The sequence below is a fragment of the Homo sapiens genome, chromosome 6 (assembly GCF_000001405.40).
Source record: "Homo sapiens chromosome 6, GRCh38.p14 Primary Assembly".
Lineage (NCBI taxonomy): Eukaryota > Metazoa > Chordata > Mammalia > Primates > Hominidae > Homo > Homo sapiens.
The window spans coordinates 57,046,539-57,067,285 of NC_000006.12; the positions used below are offsets into that span (position 1 = coordinate 57,046,539).

The 20,747-nt window shown below is 38.8% G+C and overlaps 1 protein-coding gene across 7 annotated transcripts, besides 1 other annotated feature; it reads left to right on the plus strand.

Annotated features, from left to right (window-relative positions):
* On the plus strand, positions 155–20,360 carry KIAA1586. 7 transcript variants are annotated; one of them, XR_007059283.1, is made up of 7 exons: positions 155–238; positions 775–858; positions 4,236–4,316; positions 6,148–6,430; positions 9,147–9,259; positions 12,760–12,839; positions 20,108–20,360. XR_007059283.1 is itself a non-coding variant. In XM_011514767.3 (5 exons), exons 1-5 carry the CDS (start codon positions 218–220, stop codon positions 9,155–9,157), a joined length of 480 nt encoding a protein of 159 aa, XP_011513069.1. In that variant the 5' UTR covers positions 155–217; the 3' UTR covers positions 9,158–12,506. The 7 variants fall into 7 exon arrangements, 5 of the variants coding, with proteins under 5 accessions (XP_011513069.1, NP_001273205.1, NP_065982.1 ...); XR_007059284.1 differs by lacking the exon at positions 12,760–12,839; XM_011514767.3 differs by lacking the exons at positions 12,760–12,839; positions 20,108–20,360 and having other exon boundaries at positions 9,147–12,506.
* Positions 743–1,620: an enhancer, noted in NCBI's record as "H3K27ac hESC enhancer chr6:56912079-56912956 (GRCh37/hg19 assembly coordinates)". NCBI's record gives its function as "activates a minimal SCP1, AML or CMV promoter by ChIP-STARR-seq in naive H9 embryonic stem cells {active_cell/tissue: H9 hESC(naive)}" and the evidence as "EXISTENCE:reporter gene assay evidence [ECO:0000049][PMID:30033119]".
* Positions 20,361–20,747: the final 387 nt, after the last annotated feature.

Genomic DNA, 20,747 nt, shown 5'->3' on the forward strand with positions numbered 1-20,747 from the left:
CCGGGAATGAGAGAAAGAGGCTCCGGGGAGATAGCGGACCAGTGAGGGCTGCCCCTCTTTTGAAGCGGTTTTCGTCTCTTTCCGCCAGTGGCCTCCCAGCTCACGCAGGGGCGGGTCCCGGTAGCGCGAGGCGGTGCAGGGCGGGAAGGGGAGTGGTGGCGGCTGCGGCAGTAGGGACAGCAGGAGCAGTGGTGCTGTCAGCGCGGCCGTCGGAGACATGGGAGACCCGGGGTCGGAAGTGAGTAGTCGAGTGAGGGTCCTGGCGTTCTCAGAGGCGAACCGCGAAGGGTTTGTGTTTTCTGCGGTCTGAGGCCTGGTGCTCCGTCGCAGCCTCGGGGCGATACCTCTTCAGTGTCTTGGGCCGAGCCCAGCTCTGGGGCCTGGTGCGTGTCTGAGCGAGGAACCCGCAGCAACAATGGCCGCCCGGCCCCCCGCACGGGCCCTGGCGTTCGTTGTGGCCGCGGCTGGGCCAGTGGGAGCGACGTTTTAAGGCAGGATTGCCCTTCGGTGTTGAGCTTGCGTTCCTCCTGGAGTAGATAAGGGGAATTGTGAGAGGCTGGTAACTAACGCGTTTTCAGCGTTGGGTCCCTGCAGCTCCGCACACTCTGTGGCAAGAGCCAGAGCTCGAGTTCCGTTCCTAGTCGGGTTTCCGTGAAATTGTGCTCAGTTCGTTTTCCTCAAGAGCTCTCTGTCTTTAATTGTTCCTTTCGGAAACGCTCTCTTCCTACACGAATGTGGCTGAACAGATAAGCATGTTTTGGCTTGTTTTTATAGATAATAGAATCTGTCCCTCCAGCTGGCCCTGAGGCATCTGAGTCAACAACGGATGAAAATGAAGACGACATTCAGTTTGTCAGTGTAAGTAGCAATGATGATTGGGGTTTTCCCAGAGTAAAAGACTATGGTGGGCCATTATGTAATGTTACCTCACCTGGTCATTTAATGTTCATGAGTGTCTAATACATACTAGACACTGGAGCATGGCGCAGGATTGGGAAATTTACCAAAAGAGCTATCTGAGCCACCCCCGTAGCCATCACAAAGAGCACGTCCTAAAGAACGTGCTGTACACTTAATCTCGCCCCCTGCCTTTCATTTAAACTTAAGATAAAAACGCTGGTGTCTAAAACGCTGTTTTGAAATGGAGCAAGAGTAACTTCTAAAGGCGACACGGAGGAAGGAGCTGCTAATGATGAGCAAGGACGTAGAAAACAGGAAGGGTTGTGAGAGCCCAGAATCTTAGCGTTATGGTGCTTCTAACATGAAGGCAAATAGCTTGAAGATTTCTCTAACCTCTGAGATCATCATGTTACGGCATAGTACAGTTGATGCTCATAATGAAGAATCCTACATCACTGGGAACATGCTCTATTTTTCTGAGTTTGTTCCCTTTGAGACAGTAGTTTTCAAGCCTTAGTAAGTATAAACAGGCAGATTCCTGGGCCCCACTGCAGACCTACCGAATCAGAATTTCCAGGCGGGGGCCTAGGAATCTTCATTTTCAGACAAGTGCAGGGACATAAGGATTTCTGAGCACACTTTGGACAGAATGGGTTTCTAAAGCAGAAGGGAGTGTTTTATGATATATTTTGGGGTGATTTTCATCCATAATTGTTGGAGTTTTAGAAAGGCTTTGCGTAAAGTGGTATCTCAGCTCGCCAGGCAGAAAACAGTTCTGTCCCCAACTCGTCTTTTGGAATGCCGTAGTTAGTTGCAGTTTGGTATTCAGGCTGTAGAATTTTTCTTTAATGGAGTGTCTGTCTAATGTTTCTGTGTTTTTTAGTTTTTGTAGGTTTAGGGCGACTTTGTAAGTCACTTGTTTTTTAAATTAAAATTTCCTCCCTAAACATTGTTTTGTTAACATCGTTGTTTGTTTTTCGTGTTTTGTGTATAAGTTCTTTACCCTGTCACTTTCTGGACATATTTCCCAATTAATAGTGTGTGTATATTTTGTTCCTGACATTTGGAACCTTTCTAAATATTGATGATACCAAGGGAGATTGTATGCTGACTCTGCCTTCACTGTTGTTATGGAGTAAGCAACGTAACTTGAAATCAAAGAGCAATGGTTTCTGTTTTTGTAACGAGAAACATTTGGGAAGAGGAGTTCATGGGTCTTTAGGAAAAATAATTTTGGTTTCCTCTTAACTGGTATAAAAACAGGAATGATTGGGACAGATGATCTTGATGAGTTTTTTGTGCATCTGTATGTAGAAGTGACACACGTCTGATTGATGATCCATGTGCCATTGAGAAAGTATGTAGAAGTGACATACGTCTGATTCATGATCCATGTGCCGTTGAGAAACACAGATGGGATGTACAAAATTAAGTTTGGAAAAGTAAATAGGTATAGATTTGTGTAATATCCTGAGGAATAAATCATTATATTTTAAATTGTGAGTTAATATATAGGCTGTGTTTAGCTGAGGTTTAAAACTCTTACTTTAAATTTTATTTTAAATATAAAGATCCTTCTACATCTTTTCATACAATATTTTGTATATCCAGCGTGATAGAACCCTTTATATTTAACCCTGTTCAAAATAGAAGATCAAAGGTTTGACAGCTCTTATATGGAGAAGTGAATTACATGCTGTCAGTGTAATTGCAGTACCAGAAAGAATGTAGTAAAACATCCCTGTTGCATTTCAGTGGTGCCACATAAAAGACAATGATAACTTAATTCCACTTTGAAATACACTCAGAGACAACTTTCCTTTGTAACCCCATCCTATACTGGGCTCTACCAGGATATGCTTATTTCTCTGTGTTTTTTATAGTACCATCCAGTAAAGATGCAATGCTGCTGGGTATAGTTCTCTGCTTGTGGGTTCTTCAGATTAAAAGAAAAAAAAGTTTGTTACTTCTTGATATATTCTGGTTTGGATTCCTTAGTCTTTTCATATAAATGTTGATTATCTAGCCTTCATTCTGCGTTGTGGCACAGAATCCTCTTTGTGTTCTGTCATGTACCTAGCCTCCAAAATAAACAATATGCTGAAAGAAAGGAATGATAAAAGATTTGGGGATACAAAAAGAGTCCTTATCTTAATGTAAATTTTATTGAAATATAGTACCTATACAGGGAAGGTTACTTCCTCCTTGCCATCACTATTTTTGTACCACATTACCATTTGTCTAGATTGATTATCTTGTTTGTATTCTTCCCACATGCTCTCTTATGTGGTTAACCTTCTTGAAACAGCTCTAATAATGTTCCCATCTTGATGTTATTTATTGATTCCTTTGCCTACAGAATAAAATCTAGGATTTTGACTAGGGCATTTATGGCCTGGTCTATGATGAGGGTAGTGTATATGTAAAGAAAGGATCAAGAAGACTCAGAGTTTGATGTTTGGCTGTACAGTGATGTGGAGGATAAAGCAGGGTTATCAAAGAACTTCGAGATTACTGATAATCATTTCAGTTAAAAAAAATTGTACTATGAAATCTGTTATCTTTTTTTTTTAATGAGGTAGGGCCAGGGGGTGGGTTTTTCACTATGTTGCCCAGGCTGGACTTGAATTCCTGGGCTCAAGTGATCCTCCTGCCTCAGCCTCCTGAGCAGCTGAGACTGGCACTGTGCCTAACTGAAATCTGTATCTTTTTAAATCAATATCTGTGCTATTTCCCATTTTGAAAGGAATCTACATGGCTTTATTCCTCTATATAGATTTAGGCTCTTTGGGTTTTGTCATTATTATGTTTTTTTTTTTTTCCTTTTTACTAGCAGGAACAGTATTACGTATTCATGTACTCTGACTCTTTTCCCATGCCTCTTTTTTTTTTTTAGACAGTGTCTTGCTCTAAATTTTATCTAGGCTAGAGTGTAATGGCATAATTATAGCTCACTGTAGCCCCAACTTCCTGGGCTCCAGTGATCCTCTCACCTCAGCCTCCCAAGTAGCTGGGATTACAGGTGTGAGCCACCGTACCCATCTGATTTTTTTTTTTTGTAGAGTTGGTGTCTCACTATGTTGCCCAGGCTGATCTTGAACTTCTGGGCTCAAGTGATCCTCCTGTCTTGGCCTCCCAGTGTGCTAGGATTACAGGTGTGAGCCACTGCTCCCAGCCCCTTTGCCCGTTTTGTTTCTAATTATTCTGTGCCACTTGCAAGATTTTCTCGAGAATCTTTCCCAATTCCAACTAAAAAAATCTCCCACTGATTGTTAAATTTAAGTTTAATTGGAATGATTGTTCATGACTTGTAAATTTGCCCACTTCCTTTTTAGGAAGGACCATCGAGACCTGTTCTTGAATACATCGATCTGGTCTGTGGTGATGATGAAAACCCTAGCGCCTATTATAGTGATGTAAGCACATTATATTTGTGTTTGTTCAGTTTTCTTATTAAGTGCAATAGTGTGTTGGTGGTAGCTTGAACTGGATCATAAGAACTAATTGTTGGCCAGGCACGGTGGCTCTCGCTTGTAATCCCAGCACTTTGGGAGGCCGAGGCGGTTGGATCACTTGAGGCCAGGAGTTCGAGACCAGCCTGGCCAGCAAGGTGAAACCCCCATCTCTACTAAAAATACAAAAAATTAGCCGGGCTTGGTGGCACATGCCTGTAATCCCAGCTACTTGGGAGGCTGAGGCAGGAGAATCACTTGAACCTGGGAGGTGAAGGTTGCAGTGAGCCGAGATCATGCCATTGTGCTCTACCCTGGGCAACAGAGCAAGACTCCTTCTCAAAAAAAAAAAAAAAAATCTAATCGTTAAACTTTCAGGAATTTTGTGAGCTGATTGTAAACATAACAGTTATTACAAATTAAAGTATATAAATGCACAAGTACATAAATGATCATATTTAATACATCATTTCCTACTTAATACATCATTTCCTACTATCTGTGCACTTGAGGTTATTTGCATCTATTGGTAGAAATACTATTAATACATAATAGTGTCCTGCTGCAGTATTGATAGAACATTACCCCATTGTAATCAGTAAAATACAAACTAGAATTTGATTTATTATTTGTTGATTAAACTTAAGAAAGTGAAGGATAGAATGTTAATGCAGATTAAATTTCAAAGTGTGATGTGTCTCTGCTAGACTAAATGCAATACAAAAAAATTGAGGAAGTTGCTTTGCAATATTCCAAAACTCGGCCAGGCATGGTGGCTCACACCTGTAATCCCAGCACTTTGGGAGGCCAAGGCTGGCAGATCACTTGAGGTCAGGAGTTCGAGACCAGCCTGCCCAGTATAGTGAAACCTCATCTCTACCAAAGATACAAAAACTAGCCGGGCGTGGTGGTGCATGCCTATAGTCCCAACTAATTAGCCAGGTGTCGTGGCACGTGCCTGTAATTTCAGCTACTTGGGAGGCGGAGACATGAGAATTGCTTGAACCCGGGAGGTGGAGTTTACGGTGAGCTGAGATCGCGCCACTGCACTCCAGCTTGGGTGACAGAGCGAGACTCCGTCTCAAAAAAAAAATTTTTTTTTAAACTCTTCATTAGTTCGGAAAGATGTTGATGTCATTGATGAATGAGCGAAACTCTAATATATGTCTTTATTGTTTCACTTTCATCTTATTCATTAATGTAATTGAAAATATTATCCACCCTTCATGTTGCTACTACAGTCAGCCCTTCATATACTGTGGGTTCCACATCCGTGGATTCACCCAACTGTAGATGGAAAATATTTTTTTAAATAATAAAAATACAATAATAAACACATTAAAAAGTAATACATTATAAAAACTTTTATGGCATTGATATTATATTAGGTATTAAAAATAATCTAGAAATGACCTCAAGTATAGAGGAGGATATGCAAAGGTTGAGTGCAAATACTTCATTTTATACAAGGGACTTGAGCATGGGAGGATTTTGGTATGGGGAGGTGCAAATAGCATACTCATTTGCGAAACATATGACCAACCATTTTGCTAATTGGATGATAATTCATAGTCAAATTTTGTGAAACTGTTGTTGGTTGTAGAATTTTAAAAACTAATAGTGGGTTTTTCAAGAAATAGCAAGTCATATTGATATTATAGATATAAACTGAAAATCAGGTTAAATATTTAAGTTTAAAATGTATTTCCAAAATTAGATAATCACTAAGAGAACTTTTTACATTGACCCTTAAAGTGTTATGAATTTTACTTACATATGTAAAATTATTTTTCAGATTCTGTTTCCTAAAATGCCAAAACGACAGGGTGATTTTTTGCATTTTTTAAATGTGAAGAAGGTGAAAACAGACACAGAAAATAATGAAGTGAGCAAAAATCACTGCAGATTGTCTAAGGCAAAGGAACCACATTTCGAGTATATTGAACAACCAATCATTGAAGAAAAGCCATCACTTTCATCAAAGAAAGAAATAGATAATCTTGTGCTTCCAGATTGTTGGAATGAAAAACAAGCATTTATGTTTACAGAACAATACAAATGGCTTGAAATAAAAGAAGGTAAATTAGGATGTAAGGATTGTTCAGCAGTTCGGCATTTGGGATCGAAAGCAGAAAAGCATGTCCATGTGTCCAAGGAATGGATTGCATATTTAGTAACCCCTAATGGCAGTAATAAAACTACTAGGCAAGCTTCTCTACGAAAAAAAATTAGGGAACATGATGTTTCTAAAGCCCATGGTAAAATTCAGGATTTGTTAAAGGAATCAACTAATGATTCAATTTGTAATTTAGTGCATAAACAAAATAATAAAAATATTGATGCTACTGTAAAAGTTTTCAATACTGTTTACAGTTTAGTAAAACATAACAGACCTTTATCTGATATTGAGGGGGCAAGAGAATTACAGGAAAAAAATGGAGAGGTAAATTGTTTAAATACACGTTACAGTGCAACAAGAATAGCAGAACATATTGCAAAAGAAATGAAGATGAAGATATTTAAGAATATTATAGAAGAGAATGCCAAAATCTGTATCATAATTGATGAGGCATCTACAGTTTCAAAGAAAACCACCCTAGTGATTTATCTCCAGTGCACAATTCAGTCAGCTCCTGCACCTGTTATGTTATTTGTGGCTTTAAAAGAATTGGTGTCAACTATAGCAGAGTGTATTGTCAATACATTATTGACTACTTTAAATGATTGTGGTTTTACAAATGAATATTTGAAAGCAAATTTAATTGCATTTTGTTCTGATGGTGCTAATACAATCCTGGGAAGAAAGTCTGGAGTAGCTACAAAATTGTTAGAAAATTTTCCTGAAATCATCATTTGGAACTGTTTAAATCATCGATTACAATTGTCACTTGATGATTCTATATCCGAAATAAAACAAATTAATCATTTAAAAATATTTATTGATAAAATTTATTCTATTTATCATCAACCTAATAAAAATCAAACCAAGCTTCTAGGAACTGTAGCTAAAGAACTTGAAACTGAAATTATTAAAATTGGTCGAGTAATGGGACCAAGATGGGCGGCATGTAGTTTACAAGCTGCTACTGCTGTATGGCATGCATATCCTATATTATATATGCATTTTTCTCATTCTTACTCTGGTTTGGCGAAGAGATTAGCTAACATTAATTTCTTACAAGACCTTGCTTTAATGATTGACATTCTTGAAGAATTTTCAGTACTTTCAACTGCATTACAGTCAAGATCAACTAATATTAAGAAAGCACAAAAATTGATCAAACGTACCATAAGAGCTTTGGAAAATTTAAAAATTGGTACTGGAAAGTATGAATCTCAAATTGAAGATTTGATCAAGTCAGATAAGTTTAAAGATATTCCATTTAATAAAAACAATAAATTTAATGCTCTTCCTAGGAGTATATTACTAGACAATATAATTCAGCACATGAACCTACGCCTTTTATCTGACAGAAACCATGAAGATATTTTTAATTACTTTGATTTGCTGGAACCTTCCACATGGCCTTATGAAGAAATAACTTCACCATGGATAGCTGGTGAAAAAACATTATTTCATTTGTGTAAAATTTTAAAATATGAAGTTGATTTGAATGATTTTCGGGAATTTGTAAATAATAATATAAAATCAAACAATGTTTCAATTCCTACAACTATATACAAAGCTAAAAAGATAGTTAGCACCATTGCAATCAATAGTGCTGAAGCTGAAAGGGGTTTCAATTTAATGAACATAATTTGTACAAGGGTGAGAAATAGTTTAACAATAGATCATGTATCAGATTTAATGACAATAAATTTACTGGGGAAAGAATTAGCAGATTGGGATGCAACACCGTTTGTAAAATCTTGGTCAAATTGCAACCACAGGTTGGCTACAGATACAAGAGTTCGGCAAAAGTCAACAAAAGTCTTCCATGAGAATCAATTGGCTATATGGAACTTAAAATAGAATATTGTATACGTTTTTTGTCATCTGTAAATTATGTACTACACATCCTTTATATACATAAAGGTCTTTTTTTTTTTTGGAAAGCCAGTTAAACTTTTATCAGCATGTTGCTGTTTAAAAGGCGTTCTTTAAGAAGATAATCTTGAAGATTGGTTTTAGAAGCTATAGTTTTTTAGAGATTGGCCCATGTTTGCTAGAGTGGGTCATAATACATATTCCATGAAGTTCTGTACAGAACAAACACCGTTTATAATTTTGTACTGTTTTACTTTAAGTAAGGATGCAAAAAATAGCAGGACTCAGCTAAGTTCTAAGCCCTGGAGGTTATATTAAATAAAAGAGAAATGGAATAAAAACTGTAAGCCTTTTGGCTCTTGTCTTTCTCATTTCCATATCTGTGCTATCTAGTATGGTAGCCACTAGCTACATGTGGCTGATCAGCTTAGGGCTAAAAGTAAAATTTTTATTTATTTACTTTTACTTAAATATGAAAACTGAAACAATGTGAAATATTTTTCTGCTTAGCTTTACTGTTTTTCAGTAATACATTTTACTCTGTTACCTTGCATAAGATATGGTTGTTGTAGTGTGCCTGTCAAACTTGTGTGTCATTTCCAATATTGAATATAAACATATTGCTGATAGATATGATACTGCTGTCAGCAGATGGATTCAATGCAAGTTATTTTTTCTACAAATTGATGTAACATCATGTTTATCTGAATATTTTATGCAGACAACAGGAATTACAGTGATTCCTGTGTAAATTATAACTGGTAATTGAAATACTTATTTTAATCATGATTAAATTATTTTTCTAGTTTACACATGAATATGAGCAAATTTTTAAATTTAAAATGAAGGCATACTGAAAAAGAATCAAGTGGCGATGCAGAACCTAGTACAACTGGAACAGTAAACAGACTCAAAGAAGGTATGTTGCAGATTTGACAATGAATGGCAATTGCAGTTTGCTGTGGCAGAGCAAAACAAGCTGCTATTTAAGAAACAAAGTAGGAAAATTGAGACTTCAGCAGATGCAAAATGAATTGGGTAAATTATATTTCATATGCCAAAAAGAATCAATGAAATTTAGTCACCTAAAATCAGAATTAACAAGAGTTTTTAAAAACAATTTTAGAAGGAACTAAGGTTGTAAGTTTGGCCAGATGTGAAATAGCTGAGATTCTTTTTTTTTTTCCCGAGACAGAGTCTTGTGGTGTCACCCAGGCTGGAGTGCAATGGCGCAATCTTGGCTCACTGCAACCTCCACTTCCTGGGTTCAAGTGATTCTCCTGCCTCAGCCTCCCGAGTAGCTAGGATTACAGGAGTGTGCCACGACGCCTGCCTAATTTTTTTTTTTTGAGACAGAGTCTTGTGTCACCCAGGCTGGAGTACAGTGGTGCAATCTCGGCTCACTGCAACTTCCACCTTCTGGGTTCAAGCAGTTCTCCTGCCTCAGCCTCCCAAGTAGCTGGGATTACAGGTGTCTGCCACCATGCCCAGCTAATTTTTTTGTATTTTTTATAGAGACGGGGTTCCACCTTGTTGGCCAGGCTGGTCTCAAACTCCTGACCTCAGGTGATGCGCCTGCCTCAGCCTCCCAAAGTACTAGGATTACAGGAGTGAGCCACCATGCTCAGCAAAATAGCTGAGATTCTTGCATGAAAGAATTAGGGTTTTTTTTTTTTTTGGATGGGAGAGGGGAGGGTCCTGCTATGTCACCCAAGCTGGACTGCAGTGGCTCACTGCAGCCTCTTCCTCCTGGGCCCAAGCAGTCCTCCCACCTCAGCCCCCTAAGTAGCTGGGAATACAGGTACATGCCACCACACCCAGCTAGTTTTTATATCTTTTTGTAGAGATGGGGTTTTGCCATGTTGCCCAGGTTGGTATTGGACTCCTGGGCTCAAACAGCCTTCCTGCCTTGGCCTCCCAAAGTGCTGGGATTATAGGCATGAACCACCATGCCTGGCTGAGAACTAGTTTTAAATGGATAAATGTGAAATTATTTCAGTTGAAGAAATTGTTAGAAAATTATGAATAAAAGCCTAAATAAGATGTTTTATTAAAAATTACAAGGCCTTGCTGGGTGCTGTGGCTCATGCCTGTAATCCCAGCACTTTGGGAGGCCGAGGCAGGTGGATCATGAGGTTAGGAGATCGAAACCATCCTAGCTAATATGGTGAAACCCCATCTCTACTAAAAATACAAAAAATTAGCTGGGCCTGGTGGCATGCACCTGTAGTCCCAGCTACTCGGGAGGCTAGGGCAGGAGAATCGCTTGAACACAGGAGGCGGAGGTTGCAGTGAGCAGAGATCACACCACTGAACTCCAGCCTGGGCGACAGAGCGAGACTTTGTCTCAGAAAAAAAAAAAAAGTACAAGGCCTTTAGTTAAGCACCAAACAATTGCTATTAGAATATAGGACCTAGCAATATTAAAGATTAATTGATTCTAAATCTGAAAAATCATAAGTACATTTCTGTAGTTTTAGAACAGTTTCATAATTTGAGAAACTACCCAAGTAACACACTACATTGAGTCTCATAGGACTTAAAAATTATGAAGAAATAATTTCAATTGATGGCCCCAAAAGTCAAATTTATGGCCAGGTGCAGTGGTTCACACGTGTAATCCCAGCACTTTATGGGAGGCCGAGGCAGGTGGATCACCTGAGGTCAGGAGTTCGAGACCAGCCTGACCAACAAGGTGAAACCCCACCTCTACTAAAAATACAAAATTATCCAGGCATGGTGGCAGGTGCCTGTAGTCCCAGCTACTCAGGAGGCTGAGACAGGAGAATTGCTTGAACCTGGGAGGCAGAGGTTTCTGAGCTAAAATCGCACCACTGCACTCCTGCCTGAGCGACGGAGCAAGACTCCAAGTCAAAAAAAAACAAAAAACAAATTTATGCAGCTGTTTTTTTAATAATTAAATGTTAATTATTATTATTTTTTGAGACAGGGTCTTGCTTTGTCGCCCAGGCAGTGGCATGATCATGGCTTACTGCAACCTCTGTTTCTAGGCTCAAGCAATCCTCCCACCTCAGCTTCCCAAGTAGTAGGGATTACAGGCACATGCCACCACAATCGGCTAGTTTTTGTATTTTTGGTAGAGACAGGGTTTCCCCATGATGCCCAGGCTGGCCTCGAACTCCCTGGTTCAAGTGATCCACCCGCCTTAGCCTCCCAGAATGCCGATATTACAGGTGTGAGCCACCGCGCCCATCTCATGCAGCTTTTAAAATCTCTGCGTGTGTTATAACAGTTTCAGCTAGATGAGAAAAAAAAAACATTTTCTGTCACAATAAATGGCACTCCAGCTAAGTTAGGTTAAAAAAAATTAGATTTCATTAGAATTTTAAAACAAACTTGATGTTTCTGTTATTTCTTCATTCCACTAAATGATATGGTTTGAAAATATTTATGCTCAGATTTTTAAATGGTCTCTACAACAAATTGTCACTTGTTGGGTTCAATTAAGTGCTCATTGTATAAGTGCACATGGTACAAATCAACACCAGCTTATAGGATTGTGGAAAGAATTAAGAGATGAATTTAGTGATCTTATATACCCTGTCAGTTGGTCATATTGTGGAAGAGCTCTACAAAACTTACTGTACTGTTAACTCCAAGATTTTCTTCCAATAACAGGGATGCTAGCCAGATATTTAATAATCAAAGACCAAAAATGGCAGTTTAATTTTTCTACCCAATATCCTATGGCATATGAATGATCCAAATTTGAAGCTCCAAGGATAGGAAAAAGCTTACTTGTGCCTGTCCTAGACAAGTACTAGAGTTTATATTGAAATCAAAACTTCTAAAAATAAAAATCAGTAAGATTAATTTTACTCATTTTTCTAACACGAGTCAGTATGCTTGAAGTTTTCATTGTATTTGATGTCATGTAAATTTACTGTAAAAAATAAGAAAAAATTTTAAAATGCTTTATTGATTAAATTTAGGGTTGCTTTTCAGTATACTCAGTAACTCCGAAGTCAGTGTTAACAGTACTGAGCTTACATAAGATTTATTGAATTTACCTAACTTAGGCAAATGTTTTCAAACTTATATGCTTTTGGTCCAAAGTCAAATCAATTATTTTGAAAAAGATGAATGGGATTTTTTTCAGTGTGGATATGAAAAATAAAATAAAATGATAGCTATGTTTGGAACAATTGGGTTTGTGAGTCTACTTTGTCATCTGTGAATTTTATGAAATGTATATACAAATCAAGTATGATGAAAACAGGAATTGAGATGTGCCTTAGGTGTGAAATACACATTAGATTTTAAAGACTTAACATGCAAATTATCACACTTAATAACTATATTGATAATATGTTATAAATTGATAATATGTTATAAATTGATAAATATTATTTTGGATATATTGGGTTAAATAAAATAATCATTGTATTTCTATTTCAGAATTACATATGTGGGCCAGGCGCACTGGCTCATGCCTGTAATCCCAGCACTTTGGGAGGCCGAGGTGGGCGGATCACAAGGTCAGGAGATTGAGACCATCCTGGCTAACACGGTGAAACCCCGTCTCTACTAAAAATACGAAAAATTAGCTGGTGTGGTGGTGGGTGCCTGTAGTCCCAGCTACTCGGGAGGCTGAGGCAGGAGAATGGCGTGAACCCGGGAGGCAGAGCTTACAGTGAGCCGAGATCGTGCCACTGCACTCCAGCCTGGGCGAGAGCGAGACTCTGTCTGAAAAAAAAAAAAAAATAGAATTACATATGTGGCTTGCAGTATAGTTGTATTAGACGGCACTACCCTATATGATAGTTACTCTCAAAACCAAGTTTCATCAATCTAGACCTTACTGTTGACTTCAGGATCCATAGTCAACTGTCTTTTTCATCAGTTTCACATTGTTGTTCCGTAGGCATTTTAAACTGAATAGGTCCAAAGCTGAATTTATTCATCTCTCATCATATCTGTTTTGAAAAATGGCCCAACCATTTCCCTTGATGCTCAAACTAGAAAGGTAGAAGATATTTGAAACCTTTTCTTCATCCACCTTGCCCTGTCTCTTTCACCTCTCCTACTGTAGTTATTTTGGTTCAAGTCATTATTTTTCTTGCTTAGAGTAATATAATAACTTTCTAACAAGTCTCTCTGCCTTCATTCTTGCCCCTTGTTAATACTAATATATCCTTCATACTAAGGATTGACTATTCTAAAGTTTACATTTATTTTTAGATAACTTTTATTAGGAAGACATTCAGACAACAAGAAAGTCAAATCACTTAAACAGATTTATAATCTTGTATAGCAAATCTAGAGATGGCTACAGTCTTTGCTTGAGTAGCTCAATAGTGTCATTGTTGTGTTATCTGGGGTGGTTTTGGTCTTTCCCTCATAATTGCCGGATGCCTGGCACAGTTTTAGGGATGCTCGATTTAAGACAACATGGCAAGACCTGGATCAAGCCCTGTGTATTCGTCAGAAAGTCAAAAGCTTTGCCAGAAGCTTTTCCAAGCAGACTTATATTTCACTGGCCAGAACTGTGTCAGCATGGCCATACTCACTGCAAGGGAATGTTGGGATGTGAGCTTTTACCTTTCATAGCTTCTGTATTAGAAGTAGGCAAGGGAGAAAGAATTGGGAATGGGTGGTTGGTTAGCTGGTCTATGAAGTCTAACATATTTCTTCTCTACTGAAAAGCTTTTACTGGCTCCCCACTTTGTTCAGGATAGTTTAAGGTTATAATGAGTCTGTGCCCTCCGTCTGTTGCTGAGGTCAAGGTAGCTGCCACTGGCCTGGTTATGAAAGGGCAATTTAAAGATGATCTAATAGGGTCTCTTTGTTTTGTAGGTAATAAAACTGACATTTCAAGAGGTTTAGTCAATTGCCAGGGTCACAATTAACCAAAATTATGAACAGATAACCAAAATTGTTATTGAATGGGAACTGAAAATGTGATTTATTTATTTATTTATTTATTTTTATTATAGAAACTGGCTCTTGCCACGTTGCCCAGGCTGGTCTTGAACCCCTGGCCTCAAGTGATCCTCCTGCTTTGGCCTCCCAAAGTGCTGGGATTACAGGCATGAACCACTGCATCTGGCCTGAAATATGTGATTTTAAATTATGTTCCGCCTTTTTTTTTTTTTTGAAACAGAGTCTTCGCTCTGTCACCAGGCTGTAGTACAATGGCGCGATCTTGGCTCACTGCAACCTCCAACTTCCTGGTTCAAGCGATTCTCCTGCCTCAGCCTCCTGAGTAGCTGGGATTACAGGCACGTGCCACCATGCCCAGCTAATTTTTTTATTTTTAGTAGAGATGGAGTTTCACCATGTTGGCCAGGCTGGTCTCAATCTCCTGACCTCGTGATCTGCCCACCTCGGCCTCCCAAAGTGCTGGGATTACAGGCATGAGCCACCGCGCCCGGCCATGTTCCACCTTTTAATATCAAGATGGCCTGGGAGAGTTGATTGATATCTCTGAGTATTAATTTACCTATCTTTCAACAAGGATAATAATTGCATCTTGAACGGTTCTAGTTATTTATTTATTTATTTATCTATTGAGACAGGGTCTTACTCTGTTGCCCAGGTGGGAGTGCAGTGGCACAGTCATGGCTCACTGCAGCATTGAACTTCCAGACTTGGGCAGTCCTCCTGCCTCAGTCTCCCAAGTAGCTGGGACTACAGGCACATGCCATCATGCTCAGCTAATTTTTAAATTATTTGTAGAGACGGGGTCTTCTGTTGCCCAGGCTGCTCTCAAACTCCTAGGCTCAAGTGCTCATCCTGCCTCAGCCTCCCAAAATGCCGGGATTACAGGTGTGAGCCCCCACATTCAGCCTAGTTTCAGGTTTTATGGGGCCTGTTGATTATTGAATTTGGCACACTAAGAAAAATAATCCCATAAAATTGTGAATATACCATTAGAAATTATTTGAAATATTTATTTAGATTAAGAAAATAAATAATTACAATCTTCGCAATATTTAAAAGTTAACAATATCACAAAACATAGAGGTGAAAAAGACATGATCTTTTTATTAATTATAGCTCTATAATTATTTTTAATTATTTTTTCCTAGGTTTTCTTTTTTTTTTTTTTAGACAGGGTCTCACTCCGTTGCCCAGGCTAAAGTGCAATGGTGCGATCTTGGCTTACTGCAACCTCCACCACCTGGGCTCAAGAGATCCTTCCACCTCAGTCTCCTGAGTAGCTAGAACCATAGGCACGTGCCACCACGTTGGGCTAATTTTTGTGTTTTTATAGAGACAGGTTTTCACCATGTTGCCCAGGCTGGTCTCAAACTCCTGAGCTCAAGCAATACACTGACCTTGGCCTCCAAAAGTTCCAGGATAACAGGCATGAGCCAGATTACTGCCTGGTCCCTAGTTTTCTTTTGGTTTTATATGCATTGATTGTCTCCATTTGACAATTCTGTAATATCCTTTTCTGTAGAGGTATAGAAGGGTAATTGACAGTATCCTCTAGCATAGTTGATGGAAATTTGCTTTTTTATTTTTGACAGTTTACATAGGTTTCTTTCCAATTCTCAACTGTGACTAATCAATATAATTTTTAGGATTATTATCACGTGGGGAAACTCCTATTAAGAGTCACATCTGAACTACAAGATTTCAGAGCATTTCAATTTTCTGTGGAGTGACTGCTCTTAAATATTGTTTGAATTGACCATTCAAAGTATTCCTAGAAGACTTCCCAACTGAGATGGCCAGCAATAGTTTAACTATACATGGAAGAAATTTCAAAGTACACAAATATATCCCAGTCACTCCTTAACAAGAGCTCAGAAATGTCTACTGCCACTATATGGTTACAACAGGAAGGGAAAGTACACAGAAGGTGCAGCTGAAATGGAAACAGATGGTAGTCTTAACTGACTATGGTAAAAATATTTTTGTGGCCGAGCATGGTGGCTCACACCTGTAATCTTAGCACTTTGGGAGGCCGAGGTGGGCGGATTGCCTGAGCTCAGGAGTTTGAGACCAGCCTGGGCAACATGGTGAAATCCCATCTCTACTAAAATACAAAAAATTAGCCGGGCGTGGCGGCATGTGCCTGTAGTCCCATCCATCTACTTAGGAGGCTGAAGCAGGAGAATCACTTGAACCTGGGAGGTGGAAGTTGCAGTGAGCCGAGATTGCGCCACTGCCCTCCAGCCTGGGCGACAGAGCAAGACTCTGTCTCCAAAAAAAAAAAATTGGAAATTTAACAAAAATATATAAATGTGAAGAGATATTTCTGTGGTTCCTTTTTTGGAAGGTACCCCTTCAATTAAGTTTCATAGTTATTCTGCCTCTGACCTAGCTTTCTTGATTTTTTGGATTCTTGAATGAGGTAAAGCAGACTTGGGAAGTTGTTAGACACTTAATAAGTAATCAACAAATATTACCAGAAAAATGATAGAATCGTGGATAATTTTTTAAGCTGGTTGTTGAGTATTTGTGTGTGGAAGGGAGGGGTTTGTTTTACTTTGTATTTAAAATTTTCCCAGTAAAAGTATTTTTAAAATCACATGAGATAAATGTAAAATAATTTAACTTTTTTCTATGCTGGAATCCTCTTAATAGATTATGTTATTTCTTTTTTTTTTTTTTTTTTTTTGAGACGGCATCTTGCTCTGTTCCCCAGGCTGGAGTGCAGTGGCACAATCTCGGCTCAATGCAACCTCCTCCTCCCATGCTCAAGCAACTCTCCTGTCTCAGCCTCCTGAGTAACTTGGATTACAGGTGCACGCCACCACAGTTGTCTAATTTTTGTATTTTTAGTTGAGACGGGGTTTCACCATGTTGGCCAGGCTGGTCTCAAACTTCCGACCTCAAGCGATCTGCCCGCCTCAGCCTCCCAAAGTGCTGGGATTACAGGCGTGAGCCACTGTGCCTGGCAGATTATGTTATTTCTAAATAAAAATAGTTATTATTAACAATTTTTATTTTTAAGCGAAAACACCTAGTAGATACAAAAACAACTTACAAATATTTCGAGTACTATAAAACAATACTATGAATTGGCCCTTTTTTTAAAAAAAATTGCTTTTTAAGATATTATATGTACCTGAAACAAAGCACCTTAGGTTCTAAATACAGCATTGGATTTTGTTGGAGAATCTGCAGCCTCCCTGGTGGTGAGCACACAGAGACATGTGCCGTGTAAGACATCAGTAACACTGCTGGGCTCCCCTAAGGGAGCAACAGGCTTGCTGAAGAAGCTGATGCAGATTCCACCCTGTGTAACAGTGCTGCATCAAACCCGAGAATTTCTACCAGTCAAATAAGCATGCATAATGGTTTCTTTGAAGATACATATTTCCCCATTCCAAAATATATAGTTGGTGTATGAGAAAAATTTAAGTTGTATTCCTACCTCAAACAAAATTCTAGAAAAAATTAAAGATGGAATAAAGAATAAAAGTTGAAGTCATAAAATAAAAATAAACTCATGAATATTTTTGTGTTTTCTGAATAGGAAGGATATTTTCAGTCCAAAGGTAGTGCAGCCAGAGTGCTGCAACAAACCTTAACTAATGCATGAGTTCTGCCTGTGTGTTCTCCTATATAGAGGTGAACATTTCATTAAGAATTTTACTCTGTGGTAGATGTATGGTCAGCATTTTCATCTCTTCAATGACAACATTTTTCTTGTGAATGTTTTTCATGCATTCATCCAGTTTTGCAGCTTTCTCACATTTTTTCTTACAAAATCTTTGTATTGATGCTGTGCCACAGAATTTCTTGAACACATATTTTAGTGACTTGGAGTTTCCTGGACCAGCAGTTTGCAGGTGGATTCGTGGATGGTGGGAGGCCCGGGGGTTTTCTTCCAGGCTTTAAATGTTCCAAAAGCCTTCTATTTATTGTCATAGAGACCACTGATTCTGGCAGATGTGGCTTTTCTGGGAAATTTTTGTGTGTATATCCCTGTTCTCTCTGGTTCTCTGATCCAAGATGAATCTGGAAGAGCTTCTGTCACCAGCCCTGCACTCCCCAGGCCCTTCAGCACCTGCATCTTCATGTGAGCCTTTCACCTCAGTATGTTTTTGCTGGACCTTTCTGAGATGTGCTGCTAAGAGCCCTGTAGATATTCTCTGTGCTTTTTCTCTCTGCATTCCATCCTCATGACTTCTGCTGAAGCTCAGCTTCCACAGCTCTGTGCTCACTCAGTTGTTAGATTTTTGGGTTGAAGATTTTGCATTTCCTGGTGAGTTCCTCCTTTTCAGGAAGTATCGTTTTGCTGATACTCTCAGATTTGCTGTTCATAAGGGACTTTGATATTCTCTTTGCATTTTCTTAATTTTAATTGCTTTTCCTTTTGACTCTGCAGCAGATTTATGTGACCTACTTGTTGAAAAAAAATGGGGCAATTTTTTTTAATCTTCTATATTTTGTTCCTAATTTTTCCTTGTTGCATTGTTTGCTGTCTCAGAGGAGGAGGAGAAAGAGGGTAAGGCTACCTACCAATGTGCTCATACCAAAGAGGTATATCCGGTGTTGCTAATCAGAAGCCTAATGCAACTCTGATTCTCATTTTATTCAGAAGCTGTCATGCCATACTCCTCGAGGCTGTTTTAATGTTTTAATCTGATAGACTAGAATTTGATGAAAATGGCTGTTGTGTTGCCTTTTTTGTTTTTTTTTTTTTTGAGTCAGTCTTGTTCTGTCACCCATGCTGGAGTGCAGTGGTGTGATCACACCTCACTGCAGCCTCGACCTTCTGGGCTCAAGCAATCCTCCCACCTCTACCTCCCAAGTAGCTGGGACTATAGGCTCACACCACCACACCTGGCTAACATTTTATTTTTTGCTAGAGACGGAGTCTCACTACATTGCCCAGGCTGGTTGTGCATCTTTTTCATTCATTGTGCTAAGTACACAATGGACCCTTTCGAACTGAATACCTGTATTCTTCAATTCAGAGAAATTTTATTTTTATGTAGTTTCTATATGATTTTCTCCTCTGTAGTTTTTATCTTTGAATTTCAGTTATTCTGGGAATTCAGTTGTGGACTGAATACATGGCCTATCTTTTCACTACAATTAAAATCCATGCATATTTCTTTTTTCAGTGTCTGGGAAATTTCCTTAAATGTATAACTTCCAGCCTTTTAAAATTGCAGCTATTCTAATTTCTGGTTGGGTGTGGTGGCTCATGCCTGTAATCTCAGCACTTTGGGAGGCTGAGGTGGGTGCATCACTTGAGGTCAGGAGTTCAATACCAGCCTGGCCAACATGGTGAAAACCTGTCTCTACTGAAAAAAAAAAAAAAATAGCCAGGCATGGTGGTGCATACCTGTAATCCCAGCCACTCAGGAGGCTGAAGTGGGAGAATTGCTTGAACCCAGGAGATGGAAGTTGCAGTGAGCCAAGATCTCAACTCTGCACTCCAGTCTGGGCAACAGTGAGACTCCATCTAAAAAAAAAGGAAAAAAATTCAAATTTCCAAGAGCTGTTTCTTGTTTTCTGATTGTTTCCTTTTTCATTTAATACTATGCTTATCTCTGGATGCCTTTGATTTATCCTCTGAAAATAATAGTTTTATTAAAAACTACTTTTTATTTAACCTGTTCCCTGGGAAGCTTCACTGGGAGTCATTGGGTAGAAGGGCATTTGTTTTGTTGGGATAGCTACATAACAGTCTGATACTGAGTCTTATGGTTTATGCTAAGTGGTTCTTCACAAGTTTCCTTGGTTTTCCTGGCTGATAATGTTTGCATAGAGGACAGACAAAAGGGGGCTGGAACTGACTTGTTAAAAATAGACGTAAAATGAATTCTGTTTTCAGCTGTCACTGATGCTCGCAACTGCATGTGATGTCCTGGGCCATGGGTGAATCCTTTGAACTTAATGCAGAGAATGTCTTGTGAGTAGATATGTGGAGATGTGCGTATGGAGTCTTTCAGCCTTTCTGTTAAGTGGCACCTTACCTCCATCATTCATTGTATGCGGTGTCATAGTTCTGAGTCCTTCCTAGGTTCCCTGGGGCAGACTGGTTAGCTGCCTTTGCCCTCTGAAATAAATTACTACTTCTCCACCTACTTTTGTCTTCCAAAGCTTTCTCAGATGTCTAGTGGATATAATACTAGATAATATCTTACAAAGCTGTTATGTAGAGTAAACGAACTTATATATGTAATATGCATGGCACAGCACCTGGCATGGAGTAATCATTCCATAAATGGTAGTTATTAGTATTATACAACTTCTCACTATCCCAGACAGTCCTGGTCATATTAATTACCTGGATAGTGACCCAAGAAAAATCTCTACTGCTGCCTTTGGGACTTACTAATTTATTTTTATTCATTTTAGCAAAATAAAAAATTGAGAGAAATGAAATAAATTATCGCTTTAATCCTACCATTACACTGCTTAATTACCAGAAATATGTGATAAATTATAACATCTGATAGTTAATCATTATT

Bases quoted from the DNA above. Each gene is read 5' to 3' on its own strand.
- KIAA1586 (NM_020931.4), top strand. From the start codon at position 218: ATGGGAGACCCGGGGTCGGAA. The intron at 239-774 runs GTGAGTAGTCGA...TTGTTTTTATAG, and splicing joins TGGGAGACCCGGGGTCGGAA to ATAATAGAATCTGTCCCTCC. The intron at 859-4,235 runs GTAAGTAGCAAT...CTTCCTTTTTAG, and splicing joins ACGACATTCAGTTTGTCAGT to GAAGGACCATCGAGACCTGT.